A 14,426-nucleotide genomic window follows, 5' to 3' on the forward strand; every position below is an offset into this window, starting at 1 on the left:
CAGTTTAAGAGCCTGGCAGGGGTGATTTTCCAGCAAAAATAAATCTGGAAGGGAAAAATATTTTCCAGGCAGTGGGTTGATCAGGGCTAAGCAATAGTATGGTAAGCCCACTGAAAATCTGAAAACCTAATAGATGGCAGTTTCTGGACCTACTAAATGCACTAAATGACCTCACCCTTTCTTTTTTCTTCAATTAAAATAAGAAGTTTATTCCCGTTCTTTCTGTTTCCTGGAAAATGAAATGAACAGATGGTTGGTATCTTACATGTTGCGCCAGGTGAGAATATATTTTTGTTCACATTTGCTCACTCACCACTTTTTTAAACTTTTATTTTAGGTTCAGGGGTACATGTCCAGGTTTGTTATACAGGCACATGGCATGTCACAGGGGTTTGGTGTACAGATAATTTTGTCACCCAGGTAATCAGCATAGTACCCGATGGGTAGTTTTTGGATCCTTGCCCTCTTCCCACCCTCCACCTTCCAGTAGGCCCTGCTGTCAGTTGTTCCCCTGTTTGTGTCCATATGTGCTTGATATGGTTTGGCTCTGTGTCCCCACTCAAATCTCATGTCAAATTGTAATCCCCAACATTGGAAGAGGAGACTGGTAGAAGGTGACTGAATCATAGAGGTGGTGTCTAATGGTTTCGCACCATCCCCCTAGTGCTGTCTCATGACAGAGTTCTCATGAGATCTGGTTGTTTAAAAGTGTGTAGCACCTCCCCCCACCCTCCTGCTGGCCATGTAAAGATATGCTTGCTTCCCCTTTGCCTTTCACCATGGTTGTAAGTTTCCTGAAGCCTTCCTAGAAGCAGAAACCTGTACAGCCTGCAGAACCGTGAGCTGATTATACCTGTTTTATTTATAAATTACCCAGTCTCTGGTAATTCTTTATAGCAGTAAAAGAATGGATTAGTATAGTACTTAATGCTTAGCTCCCAAAATGAGGAAGAAACTGAATATTTGGTTTTCTGTTCCTGCATTTATTCACTTAAGATAATGACCTCTGGCTACATCCATGTTCCTGCAAAGGACCTAATCTCATTCTTTCGTATGGCTGTGTAGCATTCCATGGATGTACCAATTTTCTTTATCCAGTCTACTTTTGATGGGCATTTAGGTTTATTTCATGTCTTTGCTTTTGTGAATAATGCTGCAATGAACATATTCATATTCTATTCATATTCAGGTGTCTGAATATGCCTATTCAGGTATCGTTGTGGTAGAACAATTTATATTCCTTTGGGTATATACCCAGTAATGGGATTGCTGGGTCTAATAGTAATTCTACTTTGAGTTCCTTGAGAAATTGTCAAACTCCTTTCCACAAAGGCCAAACTAGTTTACATTCCCATCAGCAGTGTATAAATGTTCCCTTTTCTCTGCAACCTCACCAGCATCTATTATTTTTTGACTTTTTAATAATAGCAATTCTGACTGATGTGAGATGGTATCTCATTGTGGCTTTGATTTGCATTTCTCTACTTATTGGTGATGTTGAGCATTTTTTCATATGCTAGTTGCCACATATATGTCTTGTTTGAAAAGTGTCTGTTCAGGTTCTTTGCCCACTGTTCAGTGGGGTTGTTTGTTTCTCTGCTTGTGAATTTAAATTCCTTACAGATTCTGGGTATTAGGCCTTTGTCAGATGCACAGTTTGCATATATTTTCTCCCACTCTGTAGGTTGTCTGCTTATGCTATTAATAGTTTCTTTTGCTTCATAGGAGCTCTTTAGTTTAATTAGGTCCCATTCATCTGTTTTTGGTTTTGCTGCAACTGATTTTGGTGTCTTCATCATGAAATCTTTTACAGGGCCTATATCCAAATGGTATTTCCTAGGTTATCTTCCAAAGATTTTATAGTTTTAGATTTTAAATTTACGTATTCAACCCATCTTGAGTTGATTTTTGTATATAATGTAAAAAAGGGGTCCAGTTTCAATCTTCGGCATATGGGTAGCCAGTTACTCCAGCACCATGTATTGAATAGGGAGTCAGTTCCCCATTACTGTTTTTTTGTAGACTTTTTGGGAGATCAAATGGTTGTAGGTGTGTGGCCTTATTTATAGGCTCTCTATCCTATTCCATTGGTCTGTGGGCCTGTTTTTGTACCACTATCATTGTTGTTTTGGTTACTGTAGCTTGTAGAATAGTTTGAAGTCAGGTAATGTGATGCCTTCAGTTTGTTCTTTTGCTTAGGATAGTCTTGGCTATTCAGGCTTTTTTTTTTTTTTTTTTTTTTTGAGATGGAGTCTCACTCTGTCACCCAGGCTGGAGTGCAGTGGCGTGACCTCGGCTCACTGCAACCTCTGCCTCCCAGGTTCAAGTGATTCTCCCATCTCAGCCTCCTGAGTAGCTGGACTATAGGCATGTGCCACCATGCCTGGCTAATTTTTTTTTTTTTTTTTTGGATTTTTAGTAGAGAGAGGGTTTTGCCGTGTTAGCCAGGATGGTCTCAATCTCCTGACCTTGTTATCCATCCGCCTCAGCCTCCCAAAGTGCTGGGATTTCAGGTGTGAGCCACCACAACTGGCCAGGCTCATTATTATTATTATTATTATTATCATTTTTGCTTTCATGTGAATTTTAAACTAGTTTGTTCTAATTCTATGAAGAATGTCATTGGTAATTTGTTAGGAATAGCATGAATCTATAAATCTCTTTGGGCAGTATGGCCATTTTAACAATATTGATTCTTCCTATCCATGAGCATGGAACATTTTTCTCATTTGTTTGTGTCATCTCTGACTTCTTTGAGCAGTGTTTTATAATTCTCATTGTCATGATCTTTCACCTCCTGGTTAGTTATTCTTGGGTATTTTACTCTTTTTGTGGCTATTGTGAATGAGATTGCATTATTGGCTTGGATGTTGTTTTTTCATAGAAATGCTACTGGTTTTTGTACATTGATTTTGTACACTGAAACTTTGCTGAAGTTGTTTATCACATCTAGCAACTTTTGGGCTGAGTCTATAGGATTTTCTAGGTAGAGAAACATACCATCTGTGAAGAGATATAGTTTGACTCTCTCTCTTCCTACTTGAGTGCCTTTTATTTCTATTTCTTGCCTGATTGTTCTAGCTAGGACTTCCAGTACTGTGTTGAAAAAGAGTGGTGAGAGTGGCTCTTTTTTTCTTGTTGATGTTCTCAAGGGAAATGCTTCCAACTATTTCCCATTCAGGATGGTGTTAAGTGTGGGTTTGTCATAGATGGCTCTTACTATTTTGAGCTATTCTCCTTCAATGCCTAGTTCGTTGAGAAATTTTAACATGAAAGAATGTTGAATTTTATTGAAAACATTTTCTGCATCTATTGAGATGATGATGTGGGTTTTGTTTTCAGTTCTGTTTATGTGATGTGTCATATTTATTGACTTGTGTATGTTGAACCAAACTTACATACCAGAGATAAAGCCTAGTTGATCATGGTGAATTAGCTTTTTGATGTGCTGCTGTATTTAATTTGCTAGTATTTTGTTAAGGATTTTTGCATCTATGTTCACTGGGGATACTGGACTGAAGTTTTCCTTTTTTGTTGTGTCTCTGCCAGGTTTTGGTATCAGAATAATGCTGGTCACACAGAATGAGTTAGGGAAGAGTCCAGCCTCCTCAGTTTCTTGGATTAGTTTTAGTAGGAATACCAGCTCTTTATACATCTGGCAGAATTCAGCTGTGAATCCATCTGGTCCTGGACTTATTCTGGTTGATAGATTTTTCTTTACTGATACAATTTCAGAACTCATTATTGGTCTATTCAGGGATTCAATTTATTTCTGGTTCAAACTTGGGAGGTTATGTGTTTCTAGAAATTTATCCATTTCTTCTAGGTTTTCCAGTTTGTGAGTGTAGAGGTGTTCATAGTAGTCTCTTAGGGTTTTTTGTACTTCTGTGGGGGTGGATAGTAATGTCCTCTTTATAATTTCTTATTGTGTTTATTTGGAGCTTCTCTGTTTTCTTCTTTATTAGTGTAACTAACAATCTATCAATCATATTTATTCTTTCATGAAACAAACTCCTGGATTCATTGATTTTTTGTATGGTTTACACCATCTCAATTTCCATCAGTCCAGCTCTGATTTTTGTTATTTGTTTTCTTCTGCTAGCTTTAGAATTGGTTTACTCTTCTTTCTCTAATTTCTCTAGGTGTGATATTATATTGTTAATTTAATTTGAGATTGTTTTAACTTTTTGATGTGGATATTTAGCACATACACTTCCCTCTTAATACTGATTAAGCTGTGTCCCAGAGATTCTGGTATGTTTTGTTCTCATTAGTTTCAAAGAATTTCTTGATTTTTGCCTTAAACTCATTGTTTACCTAAAAATCATTCAGGAGAAGGTGGTTTAATTTCCATACAATTGTTTGATTTTGAGTGATTTTCTTAGTGTTGATTCCTACTTTTTATTGTGCTGTAGTCTGATAGTGTGGTTGGTTTTATGTGTGTGTGTGTGTTTTTAATTTGCTGGGGATTGTTTTACGGCTGACTGTGTTGTTGATTTTAGAGTATGTGCAATGTGCAGATAAGATAAATGTATATTCGTTATTGGGTGGAGATTTCTGTAAATGTCTGTTAGGTCTATTTGGTCAAGTGTCAAGTTAAGGTCCCAAATATCTTTGTTAGTGTTTTGCCTTGATGATCTGTCTAATAAATACTGTCAGTGGAGTGTTGAAGTCTTCCACTATTATTGTGTAGTTAGCTAAGTCTCTTTATAGATCTCTAAAACCTTACTTTAGGAATCTGAGTGCTCTTGTATTGGATCCATATATATTTGAGATAGTTTTTCTTGCTGAATTGAACTCTTTAACATTATGTAATGCCCTTCTTTTTCTTTTTTGATCATTGATGGTTTAAAGTCTGTTTTGTCTGAAATTAGAAGAGCAACTCTTGCTTTTTTCTGTTTTCCATTTTCTTGGTAGATTTTTCTCCTTTACTTTGAGCTGGGTGGACATCTCACATTGCATGTGAGATATGTCTCTTGAAAACAGCATATAGTTGGATCTTGTTTCTTTATCCAATTCGCCACTACTCTGCACCTTTTAATTGGGACATTTAATGCATTTACATTCATGGTTAATATTGATATGTGCAGATTTGATCCTGTTATCATGTTGTTAGCTGGTTTTTATGTAGACTTGATTTGTGGTTGCTTTATAGTGTCAATAGTTTATGTACTTCACTGTGTTTTTGTGGTGGTTTGTAGTGGTTTTTCTTTTCCATATTTAGCACTCCCTTAAGGATCTGCTATAATTCAGGTCTGGTGGTAATGAATTCCCTTAGCATTTGCTTGTCTGAAAAAGGATCTTATTTCTCCTTCATTTTCGATGCTTAGTTTGGCTGGAAATGAAATTCTTGGTTGGGCTTATTATCTTTAAAAATGTTGAATATATGTCCCCAATCTCTTCTGGCCTGTAGAATTTCTGCTAAAAGTCCACTGTTAGCCTGATTGAGTTCCCTTGGTAAGTAACATGACCTTTCTCTCTAGCTGCCTTTGATATTTTTTCTCTCAGTTTGATATTGGAGACCTTTGATTACTATGTGTCTTGTATAGACATATACAAGGTGATACATAGGGGATGATTGTCTTGTATAGTATCTTGCAGGGTTCTCTGTATTTCCTGAAGTTGAAATATGGTTGGCTTCTTTAGTGACATTGGGGATATTTTCATGGGTGATACTCTTAAATACGTTTTCCAAGTTTCTTGGTTTCTTTCTCTCTCCTTCAGGGATGCCTATGAGTCATAGATTTAGTCTCTTTACATAATTTAATATGTCTCAGAGACTTTGTTCATTCTTCTTTATTCTTTTTTCTTTATTTTTTTCTGCCTGAGTTATTTTGGAGAACCAGTCTTCTAGCTCTGAGATTGTTTTCTCAGTTGCTTAATTCTGCTGCTAATACTTGTGATTATCTTATAAAATTGTTAAAGTGAAGTTTTCAGCTCTATCAAATCACTTTCATTATTTCTTAAAATGGCCATTTCATCTTTCATTTCCTGTATCATTTTATTGTATTTTTTTAGATTCCTTGGATTGGGTTTCAACTTTCTCCTGAATGTTGAAGATCTTCATTCCTTCCATATTCTAAATTCTGTTTCTGCCATTTCATCCATTTGAGACTAGATAAGAATCATTGCTGGGGCACTAGTGTCTTCATTGAGGGAAATAAGGCATTCTGGCTTTTTTAGTTGTCCAGTTCTTGTGCTGGTTCTTTCTCATCTGTGTGGGCTGATGTTCCTTTAATCTTTGAAAATACTGTCCTTTGGATGAGTTTCTCTACTTGTACTTTCTTTGATACCCTTGGGAGTTTGATTGCGGTATAAGGTGGATTCAATCAACTGGCCTCATTTCCAGAAGAATTTAGGGGGCCATGGCTCAGCTCAGCACTACTGGGCTGTATACTCTAACTCTAGGGAGCTGGTACCAGGCCCTGGCTTTGTTCACTGGCCCCTTGAGATTCAGAACCTGCTGAGCTGAGGTGCTAAGGTATTCCTGGTCTGCTGGCCACAACACTCTGATGGGTGGTGCCAGCTAAAGTGCTTCATCTGGGCAGTGGCAGCAAGACCCATGCTCATTTGCATGCATTCCCGTGGCCATGGAAGTGCAGCAGGATGCATGGGTGTTGACTGGGACAGGGACCACCAGGAGTGGAGCTGTATCATTACTGTGCACACTTGTGCCAGTGGCTGGGGTTAGTGGGGAACAGCCGGGACAAAGTTGCCAGTGTCCATGTTTGCACTTGCACTGGCAAAGGCAGATGTGGGGACTGGACATTGGCGGGCATGAAGCTAGTGGCATCCATGCACGTGTTCACAGTGGTGGCAGTGGCAGCACAAGATGGAGGCAGGGCCACCAGCAACCAGTGTCCATTCCACATTCACAGCAGCAGCATTGGTGGTATGGGGAGCAGGGTGGGGTTGCTTGCATCTATGTGAGTGTTGCCAGCAGTGGCAGTGCAGCCAGATGCCTGTTCATTAGGGAGGCAGGGGCAGCAGGGTATGCTCACACAGGCAGCATTTGGGTGACACAGAACGTGTGCACACACACACTAGTGGGGGAGAAGTGATCTTTGCCTGTGTGCATTCTCACAAAGCAGTGGGGGTGTGGCCATGGGTGAGTGCATCCTGGCAATGCAGGTATGGAGGAGGCTGCAGTGGGAGAGGGTGTGGGTGGGCTGTTGTGTGTCAGTGGAGGCTGCACTGATAGAGCTCTCTGATGCTCAGGTGCAGTCTGCTGGTGAGGGAGCTATGATGTGAGCCCCCAGGAAGCACCTCAATTGGGCATCCAAGGCTGCATTGCAAGCAGGTGCAGTCAGATTGGGGCCCTACTAGAGGTCAGCAGACAGGGGTGTCCTCAGATAGAACTGGCTTTATCTAACCAGCATAAAAAACAGGATTTATACCTCTCTGTGTCTCTTTAATCCCAAGAAGTTGCTTGGCTAAAGATATGAATTATCTTTTTTGCCTCTAAAGATCTTCTTCAGGATGATACATGGCAAACCATTAACATCAAATAAGATCAGTAGAAACTCCTTGAACCATTGAGGAATTCTCCATAAGTGTATTGCCATCATTGGACTCTCTGCACATTAGCTGTCAACAAGTTTATCTTCTCAAAATGACCATTTTTATTTATGGTAAAAGTATTTAATTATCTGCTACATAGTTAAAGAAACAGAATGGGCCTGGCACAGTGGCTCATGCCTGTAATCCCTGCAATTTGGGAGGCTGAGGTGGGCGGATCATGAGGTCAAGAGATTGAGACCATCTTGGCCAACATGGCGAAACCCCGTCTCTACTAAAAATACAAAAAATAATAATAATAAATTTGCTGGGCGTGGTGGCACACACCTGTAGTCCCAGCTACTCGAGAGACTGAGGCAAGAGAATTGTTTGAACCCGGGAGGTGGAGGTTGCAGTAAGCTGAGATCATGCCACTGCACTCCAGCCTGGTGACAGAGACTGCGTCCAAAAAAAAAAAAAAAAAAAGGAAAAAGAAAAAGAAACAGAATGCTATAGAAATGATTTTGATACTTAGCATTCCCTATAACTTTCACTTTGAATGTGGTGGGTTTCTATGAGAGAGACACCTGTCATTTGTAGGCCTGACATAGATTGCTGCTGATTTTGTTTTTGTTGTTTTTTTCTTAATTTAATTTAATTTTATATTAAGTTTCAGGATATTTGTGCAGGTTTGTTACACAGGTAAACGTGTGCTATGGTGGTTTGCTGCACCTATCAACCAATCACCTAGGTATTAAGTCCTGCATGGATTATCTATTTATCCTGATGGTCCCCAACACCCCACTCCCCTGACAGGCCCCAGTGGGTGTTGTTCCCCTTCTCGTGTCCATGTGTTCTTATTGTTCAGCTCCCACTTATAAGTGAGAACATGCAGTGTTTGGTTTTTGGTTCCTGTGTTAGTTTGCTGAGGATAATTGCTTCCAGCTCCATCTGTGTCTCAGCAAAGGACATGATCTAATTCCTTTTTATGGCTGCATAGTATTCCATTGATGTATATGTACCACATTTTCTTTATCCAGTCTGTGATTGATGGGCATTTGGGTTGATTCTATGTCTTTGCTGTTGTAAATAGTGGCACAATAAACATACACGTGCATGTATCTCTATAATAGAATGATTTATATTCCTCTGGATATATACCCAGTAATGAGATTGCTGGGTCAAATGTTATTTCTGGTTCTAGGTCCTTGAGAAATTGCAACACTGTTTTCCACAATGGTTGAACTAATTTACCTTTCCACAAACAGTGTAAAAGCATTCCAATTTATCCACAGCCTCACCAGCAACTGTTGCTTCTTGACTTTTTAATAATTGCCATTCTGACTGGCATGAGACGGTATCTCATTGATGTTTTGATTTGCATTTCTCTACTGATCAGTAATGCTGTGCTTTCTTTCATGTTTGTTAGCTGCATAAATGTCATCTTTTGAGAAGTGTCTGTTTATGTCCTTTGCCTACTTTTTTAATGTGATTTTTTTTTCTTGTAAATTTGCTTAAGTTCCTTGTAAATTCTGGAATTTAGACCTTTATCAGATGGATAGACTGCAAAAATTTTCTCCCATTCTTTAGGTTGTCTGTTCACTCTGATGATAGTTTCTTTTGCTGTGCAGAACCACTTTAGTTTAATTAGGTCCCATTTGTCAATTTTGGCTTTTTTTGCAATTGCTTTTGATGTTTTTGTCATGAAATCTTTGCTTGTGCCTATCTCCTCAATGTTACTGCCTAGATTTTCTTCTAGGGTTTTTATACTTTTGGGCTTTACATATAAGTCTTTAATCCTTCTTGATTATATTTTTGTATAAGGCACAAGGAAGGAGTCCAGATTTAATATTCTGCATATGGCTAGCCAGTTATCCCAGCACCATTCTTTAAATATGGAATCCTTTCCCCATGCTTGTTTTTTTCAGGTTTTTCAAAGATCAGATAGTTGTAGATGTGTGGTCTTACTTCTGAGATCTCTATTCTGTTTCATCGGTCTACGTGTCTGTTTTGGTACCAGTACCATGCTGTTTTGGTTACTGCTGCCTTGTAGTATAGTTTGAAGTCAGGTAGCATGATGTCTCCAGCTTTGTTCTTTTTGCTTAGGATTGTCTTGGCTATTTGGGCTCTTTTTTGGTTCCATATGATTTTTAAAGCAGTTTTTTCTAATTCTGTGAAGAATGTCAGTGGTATTTTAATGGGAATAGCATTGCATCTGTAAATTACTTTGGGCAGTATGGTCATTTTTACGATATTGATTCTTCCTATCCACAAGCACGGAATATTTTTTCCATTTGTTTGTGTCCTCTCTTATTTCCTTGAGAAGCGGTTTGTAGTTTTCCTTGAAGTGGCCCTTCACATCCCTTGTTAGCTGTATTCCTAAGTATTTTATTCTCATAGTAATTATGAATGGGAGTTCATTCATAATTTGGCTCTCTGTTTGCCTATTGTTTGTGTATAGGAATGCTTGTGATTTTTGCACATTGATTTTGTATCCTGAGACTTTGCTGGAGTTGCCTAGATTGCTGCTGATTTTGTATGACAACTCTGCATGCTATAACATAGCTATTTATTTTCTGAAGCTCTCTGATATTTTCTTTAACTCAAAATCTTCAGTCTTGCAGAACATTTAGCATTTTACTGTTTACCTTTTCAAATATCAAAATGGTAATACATCTTATTAGGTTACCTGGTTTGCAAGAGAATAAAACTTTCAGAAAATATGGTTCATCATGCACAAAAAGAAATGAATGTAAGTGTCCTAGGTCAATATTTCTCTTGTGCAAGAATATCAGTGGAAGGGGGAAAAAGAAGAAGAAAGTAAATTCTTTAAATTGGGACTGATTTCTAGACCATAGCAGATGGTAACCTAAGGGGAAGAAATGACTCACCATATCTATTTAGAGAAAGCCAGTGAACAGACTGTTACCCATCCTCTTATGAGTTTGTTTGCCTGTGAACTGACCTAAGGTATCTACCAAATTTATTAATTGTCTTATTGAAAACATGGCTTAGTACCAAAAGAGGCAGGAAATCACTATTGACCATCTTTAAACATCCACCAAGCTAAGGCCCAGGAAAGAAGACAGTCCCAAGGGAGTCATTTTCCAAGTTAGCAGCTGCTTATTTGCTTATGTAGCTCAGTCTTCTGCAGTGCCCTCCCCCATGAGAGCTGAGAACTTCAACCATGTCAATGGTTACACAGAACTTGCCTTTCTATCAGTTTCCATCATAACTCCAAGCACACCAAGCATTTAATGAGATTCATAAGGTCATGCTGCAGACCACGTTGCCCTTAAAATGACTTTTAGACTTGTTCCTTTCCTAAATCTTCACTTCCTATGCACATATTCTACATATGTCCCATGTTACTTCAAACCTAGGTACCATCACCCACCAACACATTTAGCATTCTAGTTAGGACACTCATGTCTTTTAGAAAGATTCATGGATTATAAGGTGTTTTTGTTGTTGTTGTTGTTGGAGTCCCACTCTGTCACCAGGCTGGAGTGCAGTGGCATGGTCTCAGCTCACTGCAACCTCTGCCTCCTGGGTTCAAGTGATTCTCCTGCCTCAGTCTCCCGATTAGCTGTGACTACAGGTGTGCACCACCACGCCCGGCTAATTTTGTATTTTTTGTAGAGACGGGGTTTCACCATGTTGGCCAGGATGGTCTCAATCTCTTAACCTTGTAATCCGCCCTCCTTGGCCTCCCACAGGGCTAGGATTACAGGCGTGAGAAGGTGGGGTTTTTTTTAATGTTTCACTTAAATATATTCACATATGCAATGAATTCCTTCATAATATTTAGCAAGAATCTTAGCCATATTGGTAAAATTTATTTCAGAAAAGGCCAGTTCATATTTTTACCCTCCTGGGCAGAGGCTAAAGATTTCACATATGTACATCCAATAATAAAATCTTCAAAAACTATCATCTATTTATACATTATGGTAGCAATGTTACAAGGTGGAGGAAGGTGGAATGAAATTAAAACAAACCTATATCCTTTCAGGTATCAGACCCCAGGGAAGAATAAAATGAATAGGATAAGCAAATAGTCTGGAGATTAATCTGTTTAAAATAAATATAATTTTGTTTACATAAGCATTGTCCATAAGAAAGGTTTACACAATGCATACAAGGTAGGGTGTGACAAGTCCTTCACCTAGAGAGCTTCCAGAGTTACCAACCCCATATTATATTTTCTGCTCATTTGCAAAGGCAGAGGTTGCTAAATTCTTTGAAGCTGTTATACCCACAAACAAAGCTACACATAAGTACAAAAACTCATGTGTTCCATGCAGTCACCATGTTTCTTTAGTCTAGTTTAATCTGAAAGAGTTACAATCTTATGCCTTGATAATTTCATAGAATGCCTCTCAGTTTAGGCTTAGTCTAGTGTTTCTTCCTCATTCAATTTAGGTTATGTGTTTTTGAAGGGAGTATTATGACCTGTGACAGTCTCATTACAGAGGAGGTTAACTTTATTCAGTTAAGGTGGTATCTGCCATGTTGTTCCTACGTAAAGTTACTATTTTCCTCTTCCTCATTAATACACCTCTTGTGGGAGATACTTTGAGACTACTTAATATCCTGCTCCTCATCAGATTCTCACCCTCTAATTTTAGCAGCTGCTGACAACTATTTTAGCAATTCAATTATTACTCTGATGGTTGCAAAATGGTGATTTTCTAAGTCCATTATCCATTTACATGTATTACTTGGCAATCTATTGTAAAGAAAAGACATTTTCTTCTCTATTTGTCCCATTTGTTTGTTTATATAATGTCAGGGCAATTCATGAATTCTTATTTTATTCTAGGGTGGATTTGTTGTCCAATACTGCATAGCTAATCATTCTAAAACTTAGTGATTTAAAACAACAGTAATCATTTATTGTCTCACACCCATTCTGTGGGTCACAATTTCAGAGTGGTTTGTCTGGATGGGTCTGGCTCAGGGCTTTGATGACGTTGCAGTCCGGAGTCAGCTAGTCTTCTGAAAATTAGACTGGGAGGAGAGGGGTCTGCTCCAGGGTGGCCACTCACAAAGCAGGCAATTTGGTGTTTGCTGCTGGTGGGAGGTCTCTCCCCAGGGCTGTCTGAGTGTCCCACAGCATGGACTCTGGGTTCCCCCAGAGTGAGCCATCCAAGAAACTAAGGTGGGAACTGCATTGCCTTTATGACCTACTCCTGGAAGTCATGCTCTGCTGCCTCCACTGCATTCTATTACTAACACAGCCTCCATTCAGTGTGGGAGGGATTGCACAGGGGTGTGAGCCTTAGGAGATAAGGTTCATTGTGGGCCATCTTAGAGGCTATCTACGAGTGGATCATTACTTTTTATTATCATTATTTATTTTGAAACTCACTTTTCTCCAGATTTGGCCCTTCAACGTGGCTCCTATATCCTTTTGACACTCCCCCATTACTCTTTCAGAACCTCCTTAATTCCAGGTGTTATAAGAAATCCCAGGCTCATCTTACACCTTCTTTGCTCTAGCTCTGGAATTAACTATGTATTTATGGATTCCTTTTAGTGAAGAATGGTTTTGAGAAACCAAGATCTAGGGGTTATGTGTGCTCAGTGCTACCAGAGTATCATTGCTTGTAGGTGCTCTCAGCAGAAAGAGGTAGTAAAAGAAAATGCATGCGTATAAACACACACACACACACACACACACATATATATACACATATATATATAGCCATGAATGTATATTGATACCTACAATTCCAATCCAACACCACAAATGTTATTCTAGCCTTCACCCTTTCTATATTTTTAAACCTCTTCTCCCGTGATAAAACTTCTTGTTGCATTTTCATCAATATATTTATGTATTTGCTCAACATCAGAAATTACTAAAAGCAGGTTCAAAATTGTGAACCCACACCACAGGGCAAACAAATGATGATATTAATATGTGTTTATAGTTTTTTTGTCTTTAATCTGAGGATATAACAATACTGTGTTCACAATCACTTGGCTTTTTATCCCCTTCAGTATGGCTACATTAGTCATCCAAAATAAAATTACATTCATCTGTTCCTGTTTATCATACATTTTTGTTTCCTTCTCATCTTTAAGGCTTTTTTTAGTATGAAAAATTAATAAAATCAGGAGAGGAAATCATTCTTTAGATTTCAGCTAACTCTCCCTCTAGCCACTTCACTGTTCGCTCAATTGACCCATTTACAAGTCCCTATAGTGGCAGATATAGAGGATCTGCATAGGTCCAACAGCATAGATCCCCCTCACTGAAGCCAACCTGAACACCACCATTGTTGACTGCCCAAATGACCAGTAGAAGGGACTAACACAAAGACACTGATATAACACCTGCTACCTGGAGGCAGGATAGTTGCAACAGACCTTTCTACCCTACAGGGAACAATGATATGTCCTCACTGGACTAGAGACTTATTCTGGATATAGGTTTGTCTTTTTGTCCACTGTCTTTCTCCTAGCTTCATTATATGTAGTGCCATATTTACCATCCTGTTTTCTGATACAGCACTGCGTCTAACAAAGAAACTCATTTTACAAAAAGATGAGTGGCAATGATACCACAGTCAAAGAATTTCTTGCTCGTTCAACATACTTGATAGAATTGGCTTAGTGAAAAACCCAGTTATGGAGCTAATTCTCTGCAAAATAAATGTGGTCTCCAATATGACATGGGGTATCCAAAAAATCACTGCCACTATATAGTTTTCTCCCATAGCCAGAATATGAGAGTCCAGGAATCAAAGCATGATAATTGAAAGGGCTTGTCTAACTATTTTACCTAAGTCATTCACAAAATTTTTGTTTCTCATCTTCGTGTTTTGGACTCTTGTATGTTCTCAGAGAACACAACAATTGTTTCCAATTGGAAACTAGGACTGCCATTTGGTAATTTGGTCTTATCATGCTATAGAATA

General features: G+C 38.7%; 1 annotated feature.

Annotated features, from left to right (window-relative positions):
- Positions 10,890-10,969: an enhancer, noted in NCBI's record as "active region_27527". NCBI's record gives its function as "activates an Ori minimal core promoter by ATAC-STARR-seq in GM12878 lymphoblastoid cells {active_cell/tissue: GM12878}" and the evidence as "EXISTENCE:reporter gene assay evidence [ECO:0000049][PMID:35858748]".

The sequence above is a fragment of the Homo sapiens genome, chromosome 8, assembly GCF_000001405.40.
Source record: "Homo sapiens chromosome 8, GRCh38.p14 Primary Assembly".
NCBI classification, from domain to species: Eukaryota; Metazoa; Chordata; class Mammalia; order Primates; family Hominidae; genus Homo; species Homo sapiens.